At 45.4% G+C, this 20,331-nt stretch overlaps 1 protein-coding gene across 4 annotated transcripts in view, besides 1 other annotated feature; it reads left to right on the top strand.

The window, feature by feature from the left end:
• VIPR2 (vasoactive intestinal peptide receptor 2) overlaps positions 1 to 20,331 on the top strand; it is a 116,693-nt gene that overhangs the window by 59,038 nt on the left and 37,324 nt on the right.
• Positions 1,367 to 1,897: an enhancer, noted in NCBI's record as "H3K4me1 hESC enhancer chr7:158876624-158877154 (GRCh37/hg19 assembly coordinates)". NCBI's record gives its function as "activates a minimal SCP1, AML or CMV promoter by ChIP-STARR-seq in primed H9 embryonic stem cells {active_cell/tissue: H9 hESC(primed)}" and the evidence as "EXISTENCE:reporter gene assay evidence [ECO:0000049][PMID:30033119]".

Here is a 20,331-nt window from a genome sequence, read left to right as displayed (position 1 = left end):
ATCTTTGCCCTGGCTCCATAGTCCTGCCTTTCCAGAATGTCTTGGGTTGGAATCCTGCAGCATGTGGGCCTTTTCAGATGGAATCACCAGTTACTCCTAACGAAAAAAAAAAACTGAAACAAAAGAGTAACCCTGGATTCTTGTGGTGGGAGACTTCCTCCAGTGAGACGGTGTCATGGGATTCGATCCTGGCGTCAGCTTCAGCGTGACAGCCGTGTCCTTAAACTCACCATGAGGCCGGGCGCGGTGGCCCACGCCTGTAATCCCAGCACTTTGGAGGCCAAGGCGGGTGGATCACCTGAGGTCAGGAGTTCGAGACCAGCCTGACCAACATGGTGCAACCCTGTCTCTACTAAAAATACAAAAATTAGCCGGGCGTGGTGGCACGTGCCTGTAGTTCCAGCTACTCAGGAGGCTGAGGCAAAAGAATCACTTGAACCCGGGAGGCAGAGGTTGCAGTAAACTGAGATCTCACCACTGCACTCCAGCCTGGGTGACAGAGCAAGGCTCCGTCTCAAAAAACAAAACAAAACCCTCCACCCGCCTCATCCGTGTTGTGGGAACGGAGCAGTGAGACTCAATCTGGTGTCTTCACAGGGTTGTTGCCATAACTGCATGAATTCGTTTTGTAAATTGCAAAATGCTGCACCATCATGACGATGGTCCTGACAGTCTCCTAAGTGGAGTGACTTGTAGAATCTGATGCTTCACACCAGGATATTTGCCACAGGATAGATCCTCAAAGTAAATGTCCTCAAAGGATATTTTGCCAGTAACTTGAAAGAAGAAAAATTCAACTTGCTAATGCTTTTACACAGTGCAGTGTTCTCATCCTGAATCTTGAAACAGCACCTCCGTTTTTAGAAGAAGCTTCCATGGGCCATGATGCCCTTGGAAAAGATTGCAGTGGCATCTTGGAGAACATTTCCCACAAAAATAGGTTATGGTTTCTGACGGTGTCTAAAACATTTGAGAAGCAAAAGGAAGCTCCAGCCTTCGACTTCTAAGGCAAAAACAGGCACCTCCTACCTCTGAGACTGGCAACTGGCGGCCTCCAGTGAGGGGTGGAGTCCATGCCCCGAAATCCTCCCTGTACCCCACTCCGCGCCAGCACCAGGCAGAGGCCCCCCAACAGGCCCACATGCTCCGGGGACCCATAAGAGGTGCAGACAAACCCTGCACTTTCTGCAGCGTGAGGCCACGCCGCCAGGGGCCCTGCAGACACTGACCAGGGACTGACCTTGCCTGCCATTGCACAGGCATAGTGCCCTGAATCCCGTGCCCGGCGCCCTCTCTGCAGGAGCCTGAAGCCTGGCAGAGGGAACAGGGGACACATTGTGCCACTCTGGGAGGAAGAGGCCAAGGGAGGGTGCTGTCACTCGGCATGAAATGCTGCGCCAGGGGCCCCCACATCCTGTCTCCTGCCTCACGCTGTTCCTGTCTCACCTGGCGGCACTGCCCTCCAGCGTGCCCAGCCGCCTGCCCCATCACTCGCTATTTCCCTTCACCCACTAAGTGCTCCCAGAGTTCCTGCCCCGAGCACTCTCATCCTCCCGCCCACACCTCGTGCGGCCTGCCAAGAGTCCACTGCCTGCCTGCAGAACTCAGAGGCATGGCCTTTGCCCCTCTGGCCTGGTGCGCGTTGGTCTTGTTTACTAAGGACCGGACAGAAGCTGTCTGAGTACTGATGCGGCTTTGCTTTCTGCACCCCACAGCACCCTGTGCAAAGTGGCATTGGTTAAGACGTTCATCATTACACAAAGGGTCTGGAAGAAGCAGTTTCCCAGACGGAGATGTGTGTGATGGGGGCTGAAGTGGGCTGGGAAGCTGAGACTTTGTCAGAGCCCATCCAGCAAGGGCACATCTGCTAAGGGGTAAAGAAGGCTTCTATCTGAGGGTTTCCTGAGAATGTTCACATGCACCAGCCCAGACACTGCCTGCAGCAGACGCAGAGTCAGGAGCCCCCTGGCCTAGCCCAAAGCTTGCTTCAAGTTTGCCTGAGGCCTGCAGTTAGGGACACAGTTCACACTGTGATGCAGTGCAGACACCTCACAAAACCACAGGTTCTCTTCCAAATGTTGCTTGTCACCCCCCAAACTGCATACCTCCTGGATGGGTTATGAATGGACTGACAGTAAACGTGTCCACCAGACCTGGCCTCTCTCGAGAGAACGGGGCTGTGCATGATTGCCCGGGACAGCAGGTGAGAAGCAGGCCTGGCCCGGCTAGTGGGTACTGGCTGCCCTGGCTGTGGCTCTGGTGGCTCGCTGCCTGGAAAGCTGTTGAACCCGCGTGCTGTGTGAAGGACTCTGCTATGGTCACTCCAGGGCAGATATTTATGGAAAGGTGGAGCTGGAAGGGACTTAGACACCTCCTTGACCAACACACTCATCTAGGGATGAGGAAACTGCTCCCAGAAGGGGAACTACCTGAGGTCACGGCTTTAGGGAAGAAAGTGGGCTGGGCGCCCATTGAGATTCCTCGCAAATGGGACTGGAACAGAAGCACTTTCTCCATCATGGCCATAAGGTTCCGGATGAAGCTGGGGGAGACTCCCTCACCCAGACAAAGATGAAGGGAAGAGGCTCTGCAGAGCAGTGGGGCAGGCTTGGGATCCTTGCCCAGTGAGTGTCAAGGCTGCTCCGGGGTGGACAATGGAATTAGTGTGTGTGACAGGCAAGTGGAGTCAGGACAGGGGCAGGTAGGACAGGTGGGACCAGGGACAGGCAGGGATAGTTGGTTCAGGAAGACTTGGGGGTGTGGCCACCAAGATCCAGTATTAGAACACTGAAGCTCTTGCCCTTCTGCTCTATTCTTGAAGCCAACCACAACTGAAACAAATATAACACCGTGTGTAATTACATGAGGATGATGGTTAGCCTCATTTGCATGTAATTAGGAAGGATCTAATCATTGTTCATCACACATTCGGTGACCCATTGATACACTGGGAATGGTCTTGAGCCACCCTTCATGATAGCTGCCTCTCTGTCCATCTGGGAGCAGGTCTATCTGTCTGTTTGTCTGTCTGCCTGTCTGCAAGTCTGTCTGGCTTTCTGCCTATCTGCCTATCTGTCTGCAGGTCTATCTGTCTGTCTGTCTGTTTTCAGCACAGCCTATTCTACTACCTTAGAAACCCAAAGGAAATGGGCGAACAGGTAATTAGGATGAATTCAGAATGCTGCTCTCTCATAGAAACATTCTTTTTTTTATTATACTTTAAGTTTTAGGGTACATGTGCACAACGTGCAGGTTTGTTACATATGTATACATGTGCCATGTTGGTGTGCTGCACCCATTAACTCATCACTTAGCATTTGGTATATCTCCTAATGCTATCCCTCCCCCACGACCCCACCACCCCACAACAGTCCCCGGTGTGTGATGTTCCCCTTCCTGTGTCCATGTGTTCTCATTGTTCAATTCCCACCTATGAGTGAGAACATGCGGTGTTTGGTTTTTTCTCCTTGCGATAGTTTGCTGAGAATGATGGTTTCCAGCTTCATCCGTGTCCCTACAAAGGACATGAACTCATCATTTTTTATGGCTGCATAGTATTCCATGGTGTATGTGTGCCACATTTTCTTAATCCAGTCTATCATTGTTGGACATTTGGGTTAGTTCCAAGTCTTTGCTATTGTGAATAGTGCCACAGTAAACATACGTGTGCATGTGTCTTTATAGCAGCATGATTTATAATCCTTTGGGTATATACCCAGTAATGGGATGGCTGGGTCAAATGGTATTTCTAGTTGTAGATCCCTGAGGAATCGCCACACCGACTTCCACAATGGTTGAACTAGTTTACAGTCCCACCAACAGTGTAAAAGTGTTCCTATTTCTCCACATCCTCTCCAGCACCTGTTGTTTCCTGACTTTTTAATGATCGCCATTCTAATTGGTGTGATATGGTATCTCATTGCGGTTTTGATTTGCATTTCTCTGATGGCCAGTGATGATGAGTATTTTTTCATGTGTTTTTTGGCTGCATAAATGTCTTCTTTTGAGAAGTGTCTGTTCATATCCTTCGCTCACTTTTTGATGGGGTTGTTTTTTTCTTGTAAATTTGTTAGAGTTCATTGTAGATTCTGGATATTAGCCCTTTGTCAGATGAGTAGATTGCAAAAATTTTCTCCCATTCTGTAGGTTGCCTGTTCACTCTGATGGTGGTTTCTTTTGCTGTGCAGAAGCTCTTTAGTTTAATTAGATCCCATTTGTCAATTTTGGCTTTTGTTGCCATTGCTTTTGGTGTTTTAGACATGAAGTCCTTGCCCATGCCTATGTCCTCAATGGTATTGCCTAGGTTTTCTTCTAGCATTTTTATGGTTTTAGGTCTAACATGTAAGTCTTTAATCCATCTTGAATTAATTTTTGTATAAGATGTAAGGAAGGGATCCAGTTTCAGCTTTCTACATATGGCTAGCCAGTTTTCCCAGCACCATTTATTAAATAGGGAATCCTTTCCCAATTGCTTGTTTTTGTCAGGTTTGTCAAAGATCAGATAGTTGTAGATATGTGGCATTATTTCTGAGGGCTCTGTTATGTTCCATTGGTCTATCTCTCTGTTTTGGTACCAGTACCATGCTGTTTTGGTTACTGTAGCCTTGTAATATAGTTTGAAGTCAGGTAGTGTGATGCCTCCAGCTTTGTTCTTTTGGCTTAGGATTGACTTGGCAATGCAGGCTCTTTTTTGGTTCCATATGAACTTTAAAGTAGTTTTTTCCAATTCTGTGAAGAAAGTCATTGGTAGCTTGATGGGGATGGCATTGAATCAATAAATTACCTTGAGCAGTATGGCCATTTTCACGGTATTGATTATTCCTACCCATGAGCATGGAATGTTCTTTCATTTGTTTGTATCCTCTTTTATTTCATTGAGCAGTGGTTTGTAGTTCTCCTTGAAGAGGTCCTTCACATCCCTTGTAAGTTGGATTCCTAGGTATTTTATTCTCTTTGAAGCAATTGTGACTGGGAGTTCACTCATGATTTGGCTCTCTGTTTGTCTGTTATTGGTGTATAAGAATGCTTGTGATTTTTGCACATTGATTTTGTATCCTGAGACTTTGCTGAAGTTGCTTATCAGCTTAAGGAGATTTTGGGCTGAGACAATGGGGTTTTCTAGATATACAATCATGTCATCTGCAAACAGGGACAATTTGACTTCCTCTTTTCCTAATTGATGCCCTTTATTTCCTTCTCCTGCCTGATTGCCCTGGCCAGAACTTCCAACACTATGTTGAATAGGAGTGGTGAGAGAGGGCATCCCTGTCTTGTGCCAGTTTTCAAAGGGAATGCTTCCAGTTTTTGTCCATTCAGTATGATATCGGCTGTGGGTTTGTCATAGATAGCTCTTATTATTTTGAGATACATCCCATCAATACCTAATTTATTGAGAGTTTTTAACATGAAGGGTTGTTGAATTTTGTCAAAGGCCTTTTCTGCATCTATTGAGATAATCATGTGGTTTTTGTCTTTGGTTCTGTTTATATGCTGGATTACGTTTATTGATTTTCGTATGTTGAACCAGCCTTGCATCCCGGGGATGAAGCCCACTTTATCATGGTGGATAAGCTTTTTGATGTGTTGTTGGATTCGGTTTGCCAGTATTTTATTGAGGATTTTTGCATCAATGTTCATCAAGGATATTGGTCTAAAATTCTCTTTTTTTGTTGTGTCTCTGCCAGGCTTTGGTATCAGGATGATGCTGGCCTCATAAAATGAGCTAGGGAGGATTCCCTTTTTTTCCGCTGATTGGAATAGTTTCAGAAGGAATGGTATCAGCTCCTCCTTGTACCTCTGGTAGAATTTGGCTGTGAATCCATCTGGTCCTGGACTTTTTTTGGTTGGTAAGCTATTAATTATTCCCTCAATTTCAGAGCCTGTTGTTGGCCTATTCAGAGATTCAACTTCTTCCTGGTTTAGTCTTGGGAGAGTGTATGTGTTGAGGAATTTGTCCATTTCTTCTAGATTTTCTAGTTTATTTGCGTAGCGGTGTTTATAGTATTCTCTGATGGTAGTTTGTATTTCTGTGGGATTGGTGGTGATAGCCCCTTTGTCATTTTTTATTGTGTCTATTTGATTCTTCTCTCTTTTCTTCTTTATTAGTCTTGCTAGCGGTCTATCAATTTTGTTGATCTTTTCAAAAAACCAGCTCCTGGATTCATTGATTTTTTGAAGGGTTTTTTGTGTCTCTATTTCCTTCAGTTCTGCTCTGATCTTAGTTATTTCTTGCCTTCTGCTAGCTTTTGAATGTGTTTGCTCTTGCTTCTCTAGTTCTTTTGTGATGTTAGGGTGTCAATTTTAGATCTTTCCTGCTTTCTCTTGTGGGCATTTAGTGCTATAAATTTCCCTCTCCACACTGCTTTGAATGTGTCCCAGAGATTCTGGTATGTTGTGTCTTTGTTCTCGTTGGTTTCAAAGAACATCTTTATTTCTGCCTTCATTTCGTTATGTACCCAGTAGTCATTCAGGAGCAGGTTGTTCAGTTTCCATGTAGTTGAGTGGTTTTGAGTGAGTTTCTTAATCCTGTGTTCTAGTTTGATTGCAGTGTGGTCTGAGAGACAGTTTGTTATAATTTCTGTTCTTTTACATTTGCTGAGGAGTGCTTTACTTCCAACTATGTGGTCAATTTTGGAATCTCACTGAGCGGGTGGAGCCGTGGTTGGGGCGAAGGTCAGTCCCTACCTGCATTTCTGTGTTTATTTGACAGTTCTTCCCTTGTGGTCTTTCTCTGAGTGGAGCTGAGAGTGCGGCCATTCAGCATTCCTGTCACCACCCATCCTTCCTCCATGGACACTGAAGGCTTCAAAGTGGGATCTCAGTGGGCCCTCCAGGTTGTTGCTTGGTTCTCACAGAGACCATTTGCTGAGTCAGTGGGCACTGGAGCGGATACAACACCCGAGAGAGGTGGTGGATGTTACTCTCAGGAGGATAACACCTAGCGTCCAAAAATGCCACCTGCCCAGATTTAACCAGCTCAAAAGATAAAATGAGTCACAGTCTGATTCAGGTTGTATGTTTCCAAGCCCACCTGCATTTTCCTGGATAACGTGTAATTGGGTTTACATTTTTCCCGAGTTACTTATGTAGGCACAACGCGATGCAACAACGTGCTCCTCCTCAGCCATGAATAGCCCAAGGCTGTGTGGTTGCCTAATGTAAATCTGGCTCAACAGTGGATAGATCTTTGCTATAACTGTAAATATTTTGCAGTAAAAAAGACCCCTTCCAACAAGACTCAAATGCAGACTTTCGTTGGCATCTTTTCCAATAAACTAAGTCTCCAAGTTCTAATGTATGGGGCACATTGCCTTCTTTAGGAAGCAGATCATAGAAAACTTCTTAGATCTGGTGGAAATCAGCTTTTGAATATTGCATTAGTGCCTTACAGTGTTGAACCGTGTCATGATTACCTAAGACAAGATAAACATGGGGATGTCTCATTTCAGGAAGCAGTGCTACAGGAAAGCTTCCTCCTAAATTAGGCTTCTACGTGGTGTGAGCAATCAGGTATTTGTTAGATATTTCTATGGAAACAAAAAAAAAGGTTACTAGTTGGAACAGATTATAAACTCAGTCTCTCAGTTCAGAGGGAAGCCAGTTGAGATTTAATAGATTTGAGCTGGAATTATCTTTAGATGGTAAAATGAGGGGGGGAAGTTTCAATGTGAACAATTTTCCTGATTTGCAGTTTGAATGTCCCAGGCAATATCACCAGGTGTTCCAATGAGCTCTCTAAGTGGCCCACACAGGAACAGGCATGAATGTTGTCCATGCATGAACTGTGGCAGCGATTTCTCTGAAGTTTATATCAAATTTTCCAGTTTCAACTTGCAGGGAGTGAGGGAAAGGGCAGTTTTATTTCTTGTGATTCCAGGTCAGAAGAGTGAGGGAAAATTGGAAATGTTCATTTCGAAAGTCACAGCCAGACATTGGAGGAAAAAGGAAAAACTCAAGTTGCAGTCCAGGTTAGAGGTACACAGCAAACCTCAAAGACATTGAACAGGGCTAGAATCTGATAACAGGTACACCTTAGTACCTCAAAGACATTGAACAGGGCTAGAATCTGATAACAGGCACACTGTAGTACCTCAAAGACATTGAACAGGGCTAGAATCTGATAACAGGCATACTATAATACCTCAAAGACATTGAACAGGGCTAGAATCTGATAACAGGCACACTGTAGTACCTCAAAGACATTGAACAGGGCTAGAATCTGATAACAGGTACACTGTAGTACCTCAAAGACATTGAACAGGGCTAGAATCTGATAACAGGCACACTGTAGTACCTCAAAGACATTGAACAGGGCTAGAATCTGATAACAGTTACACTATAATACCTCAAAGACATTGAACAGGGCTAGAATCTGATAACAGGCATACTATAATACCTCAAAGACATTGAACAGGGCTAAAATCTGATAACAGGCACACTGTAGTACCTCAAAGACATTGAACAGGGCTAGAATCTGATAACAGGTACACTATAATACCTCAAAGACATTGAACAGGGCTAGAATCTGATAACAGGCACACTGTAGTACCTCAAAGACATTGAACAGGGCTAGAATCTGATAACAGGTACACTGTAGTTTTCTACCAGAACACAACTTTTGTCTCTTCAGTCACCCCAATTCCTACCAAAGATAATCATACTAAGACTAATCTGTTTGCAAAATCAGTCTAATCTCATTAAACTTGGACTGATCATTTATGTAACTGCATCAAGGATAGTGGTTCAATGCACATTCTCAAATATGACATTCCAGTCAAAGTTTTGGTGATAACCAAAGGGGTTATTAGCTCCATAAAGTCAATCTCTACTCATTGAAACTGTCTGGTAATAAGGAGTCTCAGATTAGACTTTTAAAAGCCACTCCAGGCTAAGCAACCAAGCCATGGACTTGCACAATTTTGTAAAATGGAGATAACTTAACTAGTAATAAAAGTTGTATGTCTGTATTATAACTAATATTGACAACTCTGAAGGTATATCCTTTTCTTTTTTTAAAAAAACTAAACCAACGATATTCTTACTCACCAAAGATTATCCGTGTCACATGAACTTAAAAAACATTTGAGTAAATTCCTGTTTTTCTGAAAGTTTTAGAATTACTTATACAAGTGCTTATTTTTCTTTGAGCCAATTAAATAGAGCTATTTTATACATTAATTTTGGAAATGCCATCCAGAGGTTAAAAAAAAATACACATGTCATAAAGATAGAGATAGACAGAGATCTTACAGCTTCCATTTAGAAATTTCAGTCATGTGTCTGGTACAATAATACAAAACTTGCTAGTTTATAAAAGAACAGCTGGATCCAAATTGTGTTTCTGGCAGACAAAATAATTTGCTCAAATGGCTAAAGACTTTTTTACTAAAGATTTTTCATTTGTGCACTGTAAGGATACTTTTGGAGAATCAGTTTGTCTTTTAGAAGCTTCTGCATAACAAAGAAGGCATTTCACTGTCTCTGAAAAGATGAAGATCCTCTGTCTTCAAGGGCACCCCTAAGCTGATCTATCTTACTTATGGACTTACACGATCTACAAGCAACATTTTTGTTTTTTTCTTTTCTAATATGTAAATGTTAAAGGTTCCCCAAAGTGGCCATGGCAGTTCCAAATTATCCTTTTTTAAGTTTACCCATTTTTCCAAAAACGCACAAGATCCTGGCCCACGGAGGATTTTGGACCAGGTGGAACCCATCTTTGCCTTAAATTACCCAGACATGAACAGCTGTTCCAAAACAGTTCAGCTGTTTCTTCCACTTCTGTACAGAACAGGGTGACCCACCAAGAAGGTTCAACAAAGATTACTCAAGAAAATGGGCAAGCTCAACACAAAGGGTGTGGAGATTGGATCCTAGAGACTTACCCTGGACTTCCACGGCCCGTGAGAAAGCAGTAAATGCAGTAGGTCCTTGGGTGCCGGCCCTGGGCTACTCGCTGATGCAGCGGGTCCATGGGTGCCGGCCCTGGGCTACTCACTGATGCAGCGGGTCCGTGGGTGCCGGCCCTGGGCTACTCACTGATGCAGCGGGTCCGTGGGTGCCGGCCCTGGGCTACTCACTGATGCAGTGGGTCCGTGGGTGCTGGCCCTGGGCTACTCATTGATGCAGTAGGTCTGTGGTGCCAGCCCTGGGCTACTCCCTGATGTGGCAGGTCCTTGGGTGCTGGCCCTGGGCTACTCCCTGATGTGGCAGGTCCGTGGGTGCCAGCCCTGGGCTACTCCCTGATGCAGTGGGTCCGTGGGTGCCAGCCCTGGGCTCCTCACTGGCCTCAACCCTCATCAGGGGTCTTCTTTGGTTCCCACTCCTGACACTAAAAATATGATATGAAGATTTTATTGAGTGAGAAACAAACTGTTTGCAAATAGGGAGACTTCAAAGCCAAAACTGGTAAGAAGCTTGTCTCATGGTTACAGCAAGGTTTATATGCTATGAAAGAGGAAGTTCATAAGCTTAATTCTCATTGGTTAGGTTGAGTAAATTACCTGGGTCACTAATTGGCTACAATGTGCTGAGGTGTTTCAACAAAGAAATAAAGCTCAAAATTGGTTTACAGTTTAAGTGGGTAAATGGACATCTGTAGATTTTGAGCTGAGCTGAGGGTAGGCCATTGACTCACAGGCAAAGGTCAGTTCTAGCCTCCATTTTTATTCTTATTTAACAGTGGTAATGGGAGGATCCTAAACTTTTCAAAAGCATCTGCAAAGGCCACATGTAGTCATGTAGTCTAAGGCTAACAGAACAAGAGGTTTCTTAGCCTGTCTTTACACCAAAAGCCAAGCCAAGCTATTTAAATATCAGCTAAATAAGGTATTCATTGAGTTCACTTTTCATAGACATAGAGACACTCCTGTTCCAAGTTACCTGTCTCATGGCACCTCGAGCATAATGGGTACCCAGTTTTTCCTACATGTTCTTTGGTCTCTTTCTATTGGCTTCAGAAAAACGAGTTCTTTTTTTATCTGGGTTTTTGTTTGTTTGTTTGTTCATTGTGACAGAGTCTCACTGTGTTGACCAGGCTGGTCTCAAACTCCTAGCCTCAAGCAATCCTCCCACCTCAGCCTCCCAAAGTGTTGGGATTACAGGCATGAGCCACTGCTCCCAGCCAGAAAAACAAGTTGTTATAGATTTCTAGTCATAAGAACAATTTTTAATAGTATATTATCTTAGTCTATTCACGTTGCAGTAACCAAATATCATAGGCTGGGTGACTTATGAAAAATGGAAATTTATTTTTCAAGCTTTGGAGGCTACAAAGTCCCAGATCAAGGTGCAGCCGATTCCTTGTCTGGTAAGGCCACATTTCCTCTCACGATGCTCCCACACAGTGGAGGGACAAGGGGCTCTAACCCTGTTCATGAGGGCTCCACCCTCACAAACTGATCACCTTCCAGAGGCCCCACCTCTTGATACCATCACCAAAAAGTTAAGTTTCAACATAGGAAATGGCGTCCTGAGCAAGCTGAGTCTTTCACACAGAAATGGGTCTGTCTCCCTTTTATTTGGATTTCTCTTCTGTTGCTTGGGGAAGTGCTTCAGTTTCCTCACTTTAGGCCCAGAACATTTTCCGCTCAGTTTATTCCTAGATATTTTACACTTTGTGCAGCTCTTTTGAATGAGGCCTGATTAAATTTACTTGATAGTTTTACTGATTATTTCTGTTGACTTCTCTTGATTTTTCTGAGTATGGACTTACATGATCCACAAGCAACAGTTTTGTTTTTTTCTTTTCTAATGTGTAAAAAATTTCATTTTGCATGTTTTATTTTATTGATTAAAATGTGAAAAACATTTTGTGGTAGAAGCAGGAGTGGACATTGCTAATGTTAATGAGAAATTTCTAGTCAGGGCTCTGATTCCATCAGCCCCCAGAATTGTGTGCACAGTTGTCTGTCTGTGCACTCATGCCTGTGTGCATTTTCTTCCTGTAGAAAAAAAGGTTCCACGTCTCCCTTAGATGGACAGACAGCTCCACAGCCCAGAAGAGGTGTAGAGTTCTGCCCTGGGGCTCCCCCACTCCATGTGGCACTGCCTGTGCCTGAAAGGAATTGTTCTAATGAGACCTAAGAAATTATAATTCTATTCAATTAAAAAAAAAAGGATAGGCTGAGCACGGTGGCTCACGCCTGTAATCATAGCATTTTGGGAGGCCAAGGCAGGCAGATTGCCTGAGCTCAGAAGTTCAAGACCAGCCTGGGTAACATGATGTAACCCTGTCTCTACAAAAATTAGCCAGGTGGGGTGGCACACACCTGTAATCCCAGCTACTCGGGAGGCTAAGGCATGAGAATCACTTGAACCCGGGAGGCAGAGGCTGCAGTGAGCCGAGATGGGGCCACTTCACTCCAACCTGGGTGACAGAGCAAGACTCTTGTCTCCAATCAATAAATAAATAAACAAGGACAAGTGAATATCAACTGGGATAAGCATTTTTTTCATTGACATATGGATGCAATATATTGTACTAATTGCAAGCATGTGTCATCTTTGCATCCTGGGGAAAATCTACTTGATTGAGGTGTGTGTATTTAGTATACTCCTAAACTGATCTTCTTTTATCCTTGATATTTTGAGATTTTTCCTTTTGTATTTGTAAGTGAAATTATTCTGTAGTTATTACTATTTATTTCAGTATATTGTCTGCTTTTGACATCAGACTTATGCTAGCTTTAAAAATAAGATGTTGTGCTTTTTCTTTATTTGTTACTATGTTCTGGAACAATTTTTATATCCTAGGAATAATGTGTACCTTAGAAGATGAAAAGAACTCACCTGTGAAAACTCCTGGGTTCACTAACATTTTTACAACTTATATTTCACAGACTTTAAAAAAATAGCTCTTCTGGTTATTGGTGTTTTTAGGTTTTCCTTAAATCTGTTCTGGAAATGTTTACAGCCCCAGAATGTTACCATTTCGTTGAAGTTTTGACTTTGTTAGCACAGAGCTGTGCATCACACTTTAATTAAAATGTGTAAAATAATGTTCCTCATTATTTTTCTTGTTTTGATATTTCATAAATAATCTACTCTATTAGGCTATACCAAAAAAGTGGGTTATTGTAAATCTGACCATTTTTTAAAACTTACTCTCCTTAATAAATATTTCCTGAGTATTCCTGTGTGCCAACCACTGTTCTGGGCATTTTGGATATACATCAATAATTACAAAACCAAGGCCCAGGGCCTCATGGGCCTGTCGTCCAGGAAGGAGGTAACTTTCTGTGTCTTTCGTTTTTGTGCTCTTGTTATTATAATTTCCTTCTTCTTGCTTTCCTTGACTTGTTTTATCATTTTTCAGGCTTTTTTAGTTGAATGCTTTATTTTCTTATTAAGAAAGGTATTTAAGGCTCTAATTATGCCACTGACCATAATTTTGACAATGTTTTGAAATGTTACCATTTTCTCTTTTTCAGATGTTTACTGTTTTTCTAGTTTTAATTTTATTTTTTGAGTTTATTTGGAAAATAAGTTGACTGTTAATTTTCTTGCTCTTTAAAATTTTATAGTCATAAGTGTCATTCTGTAAGCTTTAGAGACATGGGACTCTGGATTTTGTTGCTAGTCTAGCGATGTGTGTTTTCTTACCTGCCGGTACCATCGTGCCTTCATCCAGCAGGTGCCGCAGGGTTCCCGGCCTAGAGACGTGGGACTCTTTATTTTTGTTGCCAGTCTAGTGATGTATGTTTTCTTACCTGCCGGTACCATCGTGCCTTCATCCAGCAGGTGCTGCAGGGTTCCCGGCCTAGAGACATGGGATTCTGGATTTTTGTTGCTAGTCTAGCGATGTGTGTTTTCTTACCTGCCGGTACCATCGTGCCTTCATCCAGCAGGTGCTGCAGGGTTCCCAGCCTAGAGACATGGGACTCTGGATTTTGTTGCTAGTCTAGCGATGTGTGTTTTCTTACCTGCCAGTACCATCGTGCCTTCATCCAGCAGGTGCTGCAGGGTTCCCAGCCTAGAGACATGGGACTCTGGATTTTGTTGCTAGTCTAGCAATGTGTGTTTTCTTACCTGCCGGTACCATCGTGCCTTCATCCAGCAGGTGCTGCAGGGTTCCCGGCCATGCTGTGTGCGGTGTGACTGCACTTTTCATGGCTCCTTTGTATATTATGAATTCTAGTTTACCAGAAGTCTCCTCTGGATCTAAAGTTAAAGAGAAAACTCTTTGCACCTGTTCTCCTGTGAACAGTCTTTCTGATATGGACGGGTTCACTCATTACCGCTGAATTGAACTCCTGTTCTGGACAAGGAGGGGGCCTGGGCCTTGGGATGAGGCTGGTGGGGTTGTGGGTCCGAGCTCCAGGCACAACTGAGGAACCATGAAGAACAGAACGCGATGCCCATGGAAAAGCCAGTGCCAGGGAGATGCTCAGAGCCAAGATTCTCTCTGAAGGCCCCAAATGGGGACAGGCACTCTCTGAGTGGTCCAAGGCCAAGGGTCTGCCTGGGGACCCAGGAGGAAGGAAGCCAAGATGGGAGGCTGAGCCGGGGAAGGTTCTGGAGTCCAGAGGGAGAGGCCTCCTAGGAAGAGACCCTCTGTGCAGTTCTTGAAACTGCTGAGCTGGCTTGGCCACCTCTAATGAAGATAAACTTCACCTCACAGTGAAGATGGAAAAGTGTGCACAGTTCCTCATGACCATGTTCTAAACATTGGTGCTTATTACAGGAGGTTGAATGAATGTCTGTGCAACCCAGAAAAACCCTGGAAGTTGCTCGACCCACCTCCTGCAACACAGTAGCCTGGCGGTTTTCTTGTGAGTTGCCTCATGTTTTTAAAAACTGACTACAGGAAGGATTTCTTGCCGGTAATGACCTGCGTGGTGAAGCCACAGTCAGCCAGTCTGTGGGCGTGCCGTTTCGTGTGCTGCTGGGCCACGCTGCTGAGGTTCTGATGGGACCTTCCCACCTGCGTGTGCTTCAGCACTCACCGCACAGTCTGCTTTGCTTCCCCAAGACCTTAATGGAGGCATTTTTGCAAGAAACCAAATAAGCCTTCTTAAATGCTTGAAAGCACGGGATGTGTAAAATCAAAACCAGCTTTAAGCAAACTAATATAATTTGCAATGTAGCCCTTTCTATTCTTCTAGTGAAGACAAACACAAATTTTAATTCATATTCATCTCACTTTCTAGCTCATTTATTGTCTTCTGGGACAGTTCCCAAAACAAACTTCCTGTGGTGAAGTACAGGCCGAGTGACTTGTGGGGCCCTTCTGTCAGTAGCGGCCGTGCTTCCCACAACGCCTGACGTGCTGTCTGCATCCTATTAAGCGTCCATGAATGTCCTGGATAGAATGAATTAAACTAACCAAGGATACCAAACACATTCAGCAAGAAACACAAATCTTACATGAGAAACTGGGCATAAACAACTCCCACCACAAATCATCCCAAAATGCTAAATCAAACATAACAATAATCCTTTAAAATGTGTAGCTGGGATTTCAAGAAAGTAAGAAAATCTAAAAAAAAAAAGAGCTGAGAACCAGAGTGACCGCAGTGGCAGCACCGGGCCCTGGGTCGTGTGCGGAGTCCTCCGTGCAGCCCTGGATGCAGGGGCGGCTGCTTGGAATCTGACCCCGGGACAGCAGGAAAAATTGCCTTATATGCCTTTGCTTTCCACAAAGAAGATTTTTAAAGTCCTTCCCAGGAATCTCACGATGAATATGCCCTCCTAAAGGGCAAGTTCCTTTTTACCCTCGGTACAGAAGCCCTGAGCTGAGACTTTGGCGTTGGCTGTTGCTGAGTGGGCAGCCCTGGAGGTACCGGACAAAGCAAACAGGTTCTGTCTGGAGGGAAATGTCCACCAGGCCTCACAAAATTCCCATGGGTAAACTCCAAACATCAGCTCACATTCCGGGTTGACAAACTACAGAAGGAAAAAGCACCATGAACAAGAATCAGCCAACGACAGACAGTAAAATTACACCCAATCTTCAGCTCAGGAAATCATCAGGCACCAAAAGGAAATAAATGCATTTAAAATGTTTTTTAAAAGGGGGAACTGGGGGTGAAAGTGTGAACCAGAAACAAGGTACTCTAAAAAGTATGGGTTACATTAGTTTCCCTTATTTGGGGGGAAAAATGGAGCAGATGCATTAAACAGCATATTAGACATGATGCAAAGAGGGTTCTGGACCAGGAAGGATCCGTACAAAGAAACCAGCCCAGGTGCAGGCAGAGAGAGGGACAGAAAACAGGGTTGGAGACCAGGATTGACCAAGGCCAGTCACAGGCTTAGTAGAGGTTTTCCAGAGTTTTTGTGAGGCTCCAATCCTCAGATTCAAAAAGCCTGAAGACCCTAAATACAGTGAATAAAAGGAAATAACTGGCCAGACAATTGTGGTGGGTCTGGAAAGTTCTGGAGACAAGAGATGGATTCCGCACACGTGAGGAGGAGTGCAGCAGGTGCATTGTTGTCTGGGGCCTACAGCCGTTCGTTCCCAGGAGTGCATACCCAGCCAGACTGCACGTGGGTTCCAGAAAGCAGGGACTGGCAGGGTCCCCAGCCAGCAACCCTCACTCGGAGCGCCTGGAGAAGGTAGTTCAGGGGAAACTGGACACAGGAGGAAGAACTGACAGGAAGAAAAAGTGAGCAGGGAGAAAGGCCCCCATGAGCCCTGAGCACAGTTGCTGAGGCGGTAGTGAAACTGGAGACAGGTGGAGTGGACACCGCACAGCCAGGAGCCTGTGGGGAGATGGAAGCCCTGTGAGGAGTACCTGCAGATTAAGGCTGCCCAGTGAGGTACCAGAACCAGAACGGTTCACGCGGCTCAGTGAAGCCTAAGGCCGTAGTACTGCACAGCCCAGAGACAGGGGCCTGCCAGCACCCACTGAGATTTTATTCCTGTGCAGTTCTCTTTCTGCTGTTTGTTAGTAGCTGCGTGTCTTCCTTATATTGTTTTCTATGCTTTTGGTAGGTTTGAAACACTGTTTTCTGACTGTTTAGTCTGAACTCTGATCACAAGATAATTGGTGAAGAGCAGCCATTCCACTCTGCTCCCCATGGGAATGTCTCAGAAAGGAAATTGGAAAGGAGACAGTGGCCTCAGTCACAGCTGTGGAGACGCCTTCAGAACCCTCCTCAGACCCTGCCTTCTTTCTGAGGCCGTGCTGTTGCACCCGCCGTCCAGAAGCGCCACTCCTACAACAAACGTCACAGCAGCCAACAGCGGGATCTGCTTTCTCCCTCACACTCAGGCCTGTCCTGGCCCCGGCAGGCTTTGTCGTGGGTGCCAGGGCTGTCTGCGCTGACTTCAGAATTGAACAAGAGAACAGACAACCCACTTCTAAACACACACGCTGTGGAACACAGAAGGCTGGCCGTGTGGGAACCCTCTTCCTGCATTGAGCCCTCGCTGTTGGCTAATTAGAAATGGGTCACGGCTGCTGATGGTGTTCTAGGGGAAAGAGCACTGGGTTTGGGGTCAGATGGCTTTGCCATTAATGCTGAGTGTGCTTGATTTCTCTGACAGATTTTAATTAGTTCTATTCCCCTTAAAGGAAAAACATGTGAAAAGAGAGGGGCTGTTTTTTTAAAAGGCCTTGAGTCCCAAAGGCAAGAACCCTGGGGCTGGGCTGACTCTCCCCTCACGGAAGTGAGGACCTGCTGCTTTGGGTCTTGGCACACTGTCTACACACTGTTGGGGCAGGGTTAGTAATACTCGTATCTAAGGCCAGGTTCTAGGACGTGCTTGATATTTTCAGTAAACACACCACTGGCCTCAGTGTTTTTAAATTTCTGAGCCGGTTGCTGTTCACTTCTGGAGTTGGGTATGGGCAGCTCCCCAGCGGTTAGCATGCAGGAGCCGCAGCCTGGATTGCTCAAGAAGGACCTCTGCAGAGAGGGGCTAGCGGCCCCCGCAGCACCTGCCCTTCCTGCCCTGACAGTGGCTCTGCCCAGCCACAAACCATTGCAAGTGACAGCAGCAAAGTACCTGCTTCCTTTAGGCAAGCCCAAGTGATAGCCTTGAACCTATGAGATTATCTTTCACCCTTCTCCTTGGCCTCGACAGGATCTTGGTTCCGGGGAAAGAACTTGAAGGTCTTTCAAATCCTTCTTTCCAACATCAGTGCTGGAATTAACTTCTGCTGTGACCGAGCCACTCCCTGGAATTGCAGCTGTTAGTTTAGGCCCTTTCTGATCATGAACACTTCCTGCTGGATTATTCTTTCTTTCTAGTAGGAAATCATGGTGTTTTTAGAATCCTGTAATGATCAGAGCTATTGTACATTCTTCAGATTTAATATACCCACATTGAGCAGAGCATTTTCTTGTTGCGAGGAAATCTGAAAGCATTGAGCTCATGGGATGAGTGTAGCTTCCAGGTGTCAGGCCGGCGCCAGCTCCTCATGCACGCTGGGTTCTGGGCCGTTGGTGGAAAGGTTAGTGCTGTTCAAATAGATCATGCTTTATAAGTTCTGGGCATTGCCCATGGACCTGCCCCCACACACCTGGAATCCAGAGCTCTGTGTTGGGAATAAATCCTATAGCTGCACAGCAGAGGTGATGACTTTCAAATGGGTCAGAGCATCCGTTTGGCTGCCCTTTATGTGAGACTGGAAAATACACACATGCAAATGTTGATTAACAGAGGGAAGGTGCTCGTGTGGGTGAATGGTGGTCGTATGGTCTCTGTGCCAACAGAACTGTCTACGCTGATGGGAACGTTCTTTATCTGAGCTTTGTCGAGTGTGGCAGCCACTGGCCACATGTGACCGTGAGCACCAAAATATGGCTGGTGCAACTGAGTCACTGGCGTGTCAATTTTACGTAAGTTTAATTAACTTCGATCTCAGTATCCGCACATGGCAGGCACGTGCTGGAGAGCGCCAGTGCCCACTCACAGGAGAGTTCCACTCAGTGTGGATCTTGGTTTTCCTACTGAGGTTTAACAAGGCAAAAAAATCCCCCTTCTAAAACTGTATTAATACATTAGTTTCCCAGATCAAAATTGATGTCAACCTTGATTACCTGAACTATTTGAGGAGTTATACTAACAAATTTAGTTTTCTTGCTAAGTATTTATCAGTATTGTCTTTCTAAAATGTGTTAGCCCACCACTGAGGCTTTGTAAGTAGTAATGAGCATAGGGAAACTTGCCTTGAAATATCATCACTGAGCTCTAGTTCTTGCACCACAAAGATGCAGGGAGTGGAAGCAATTCAGACAAATCTGCTTGGTCCACCAAGCCATCCCAGAGCAGAGGCTGTCCAACTAGGCCAAGTGGCCTCCCAGAATGCCATGGAAGGGTTCAGGAGCAATTATCCTGGAATCCACGGGATGGTGCCCTGAATCCCACAGAATGCTGCAGGAGCAGGCATCCTGGAATCCCACAGATGGTGCGGGAACAGGCATCCTGGAATCCCATGGACGCTGCAGGATCAGGCATCCTGGAATCCCTTGGACGCTGCAGGAGCAGGCATCCTAGAATCCCACGGATGGTGTGGGAACAGGCATCCTGGAATCCCACAGACGTTGTGGAAGCAGGCATCCTGGAATCCACGGACGCCGCGGGAGCAGGCATCCTGGAATCCCACGGACAGTGAAGGAACAGGCATCCTGGAATCCCACCGACGGTGTGGAAGCAGGCATCCTGCAATCCCATGGACGGTGCGGGAGCAGGCATCCTGGAATCCCACGGACAGTGTGGGAGCAGGCATCCTGGAATCCCATGGACAACGTGGGATCAGGCATCCTGGAATCCCACGGACGCTGCAGGAACAGGCATCCTGGAATCCCGCGGACGCTGCGGAGCAGGCATCGTGGAATCCCATGGACAGTGCGGGAGCAGGCCCCTAAAGGAAAACCTACCCCAGCAGCCCTCTTTTAATCTCTAACACATGTTGGGTTAAATGAATTTGCTTCACCTGCGTTTTCTGTCTCAGGGGAGGTCAAACCTCACAGCTCTGTGCTCTGTGTGGCTTCTTTCATTCCCTAAACGCAATGTGTGGGTCAGCCCTGAGCACTCTGTAGTGGACACTGTGGTCGAGAACGTAACTACACGTGGGCCACGGGCCACAGAAAACCAGGGTACTTTCTGGGCGGAGGGTTTCTGAGACCGGAGGAGCAAAGCACTTTCAATAACTGTGTCCCTGATGTCTTCTCGTTTCCTGTGCGATCTCAAGTTCTAAAACCTTAGTGTTGAAAAATTTTCCTGGTCAATCTGATGGTCTTTTTATGGGGATTTGAGTTCATAAAAAATGTTATTGTACATGCAAGGAACAGTGTGTCGATTCAGGGTTCAAACAGGACACTGCTGGCACACGCCAAGGATAAAACTGAAAAGAGCTTAAACGCAGAGAATCCTTACAG

Source organism: Homo sapiens, chromosome 7, assembly GCF_000001405.40.
Source record: "Homo sapiens chromosome 7, GRCh38.p14 Primary Assembly".
NCBI lineage: Eukaryota > Metazoa > Chordata > Mammalia > Primates > Hominidae > Homo > Homo sapiens.
This window is presented reverse-complemented; position numbering and strand designations above follow the sequence as displayed.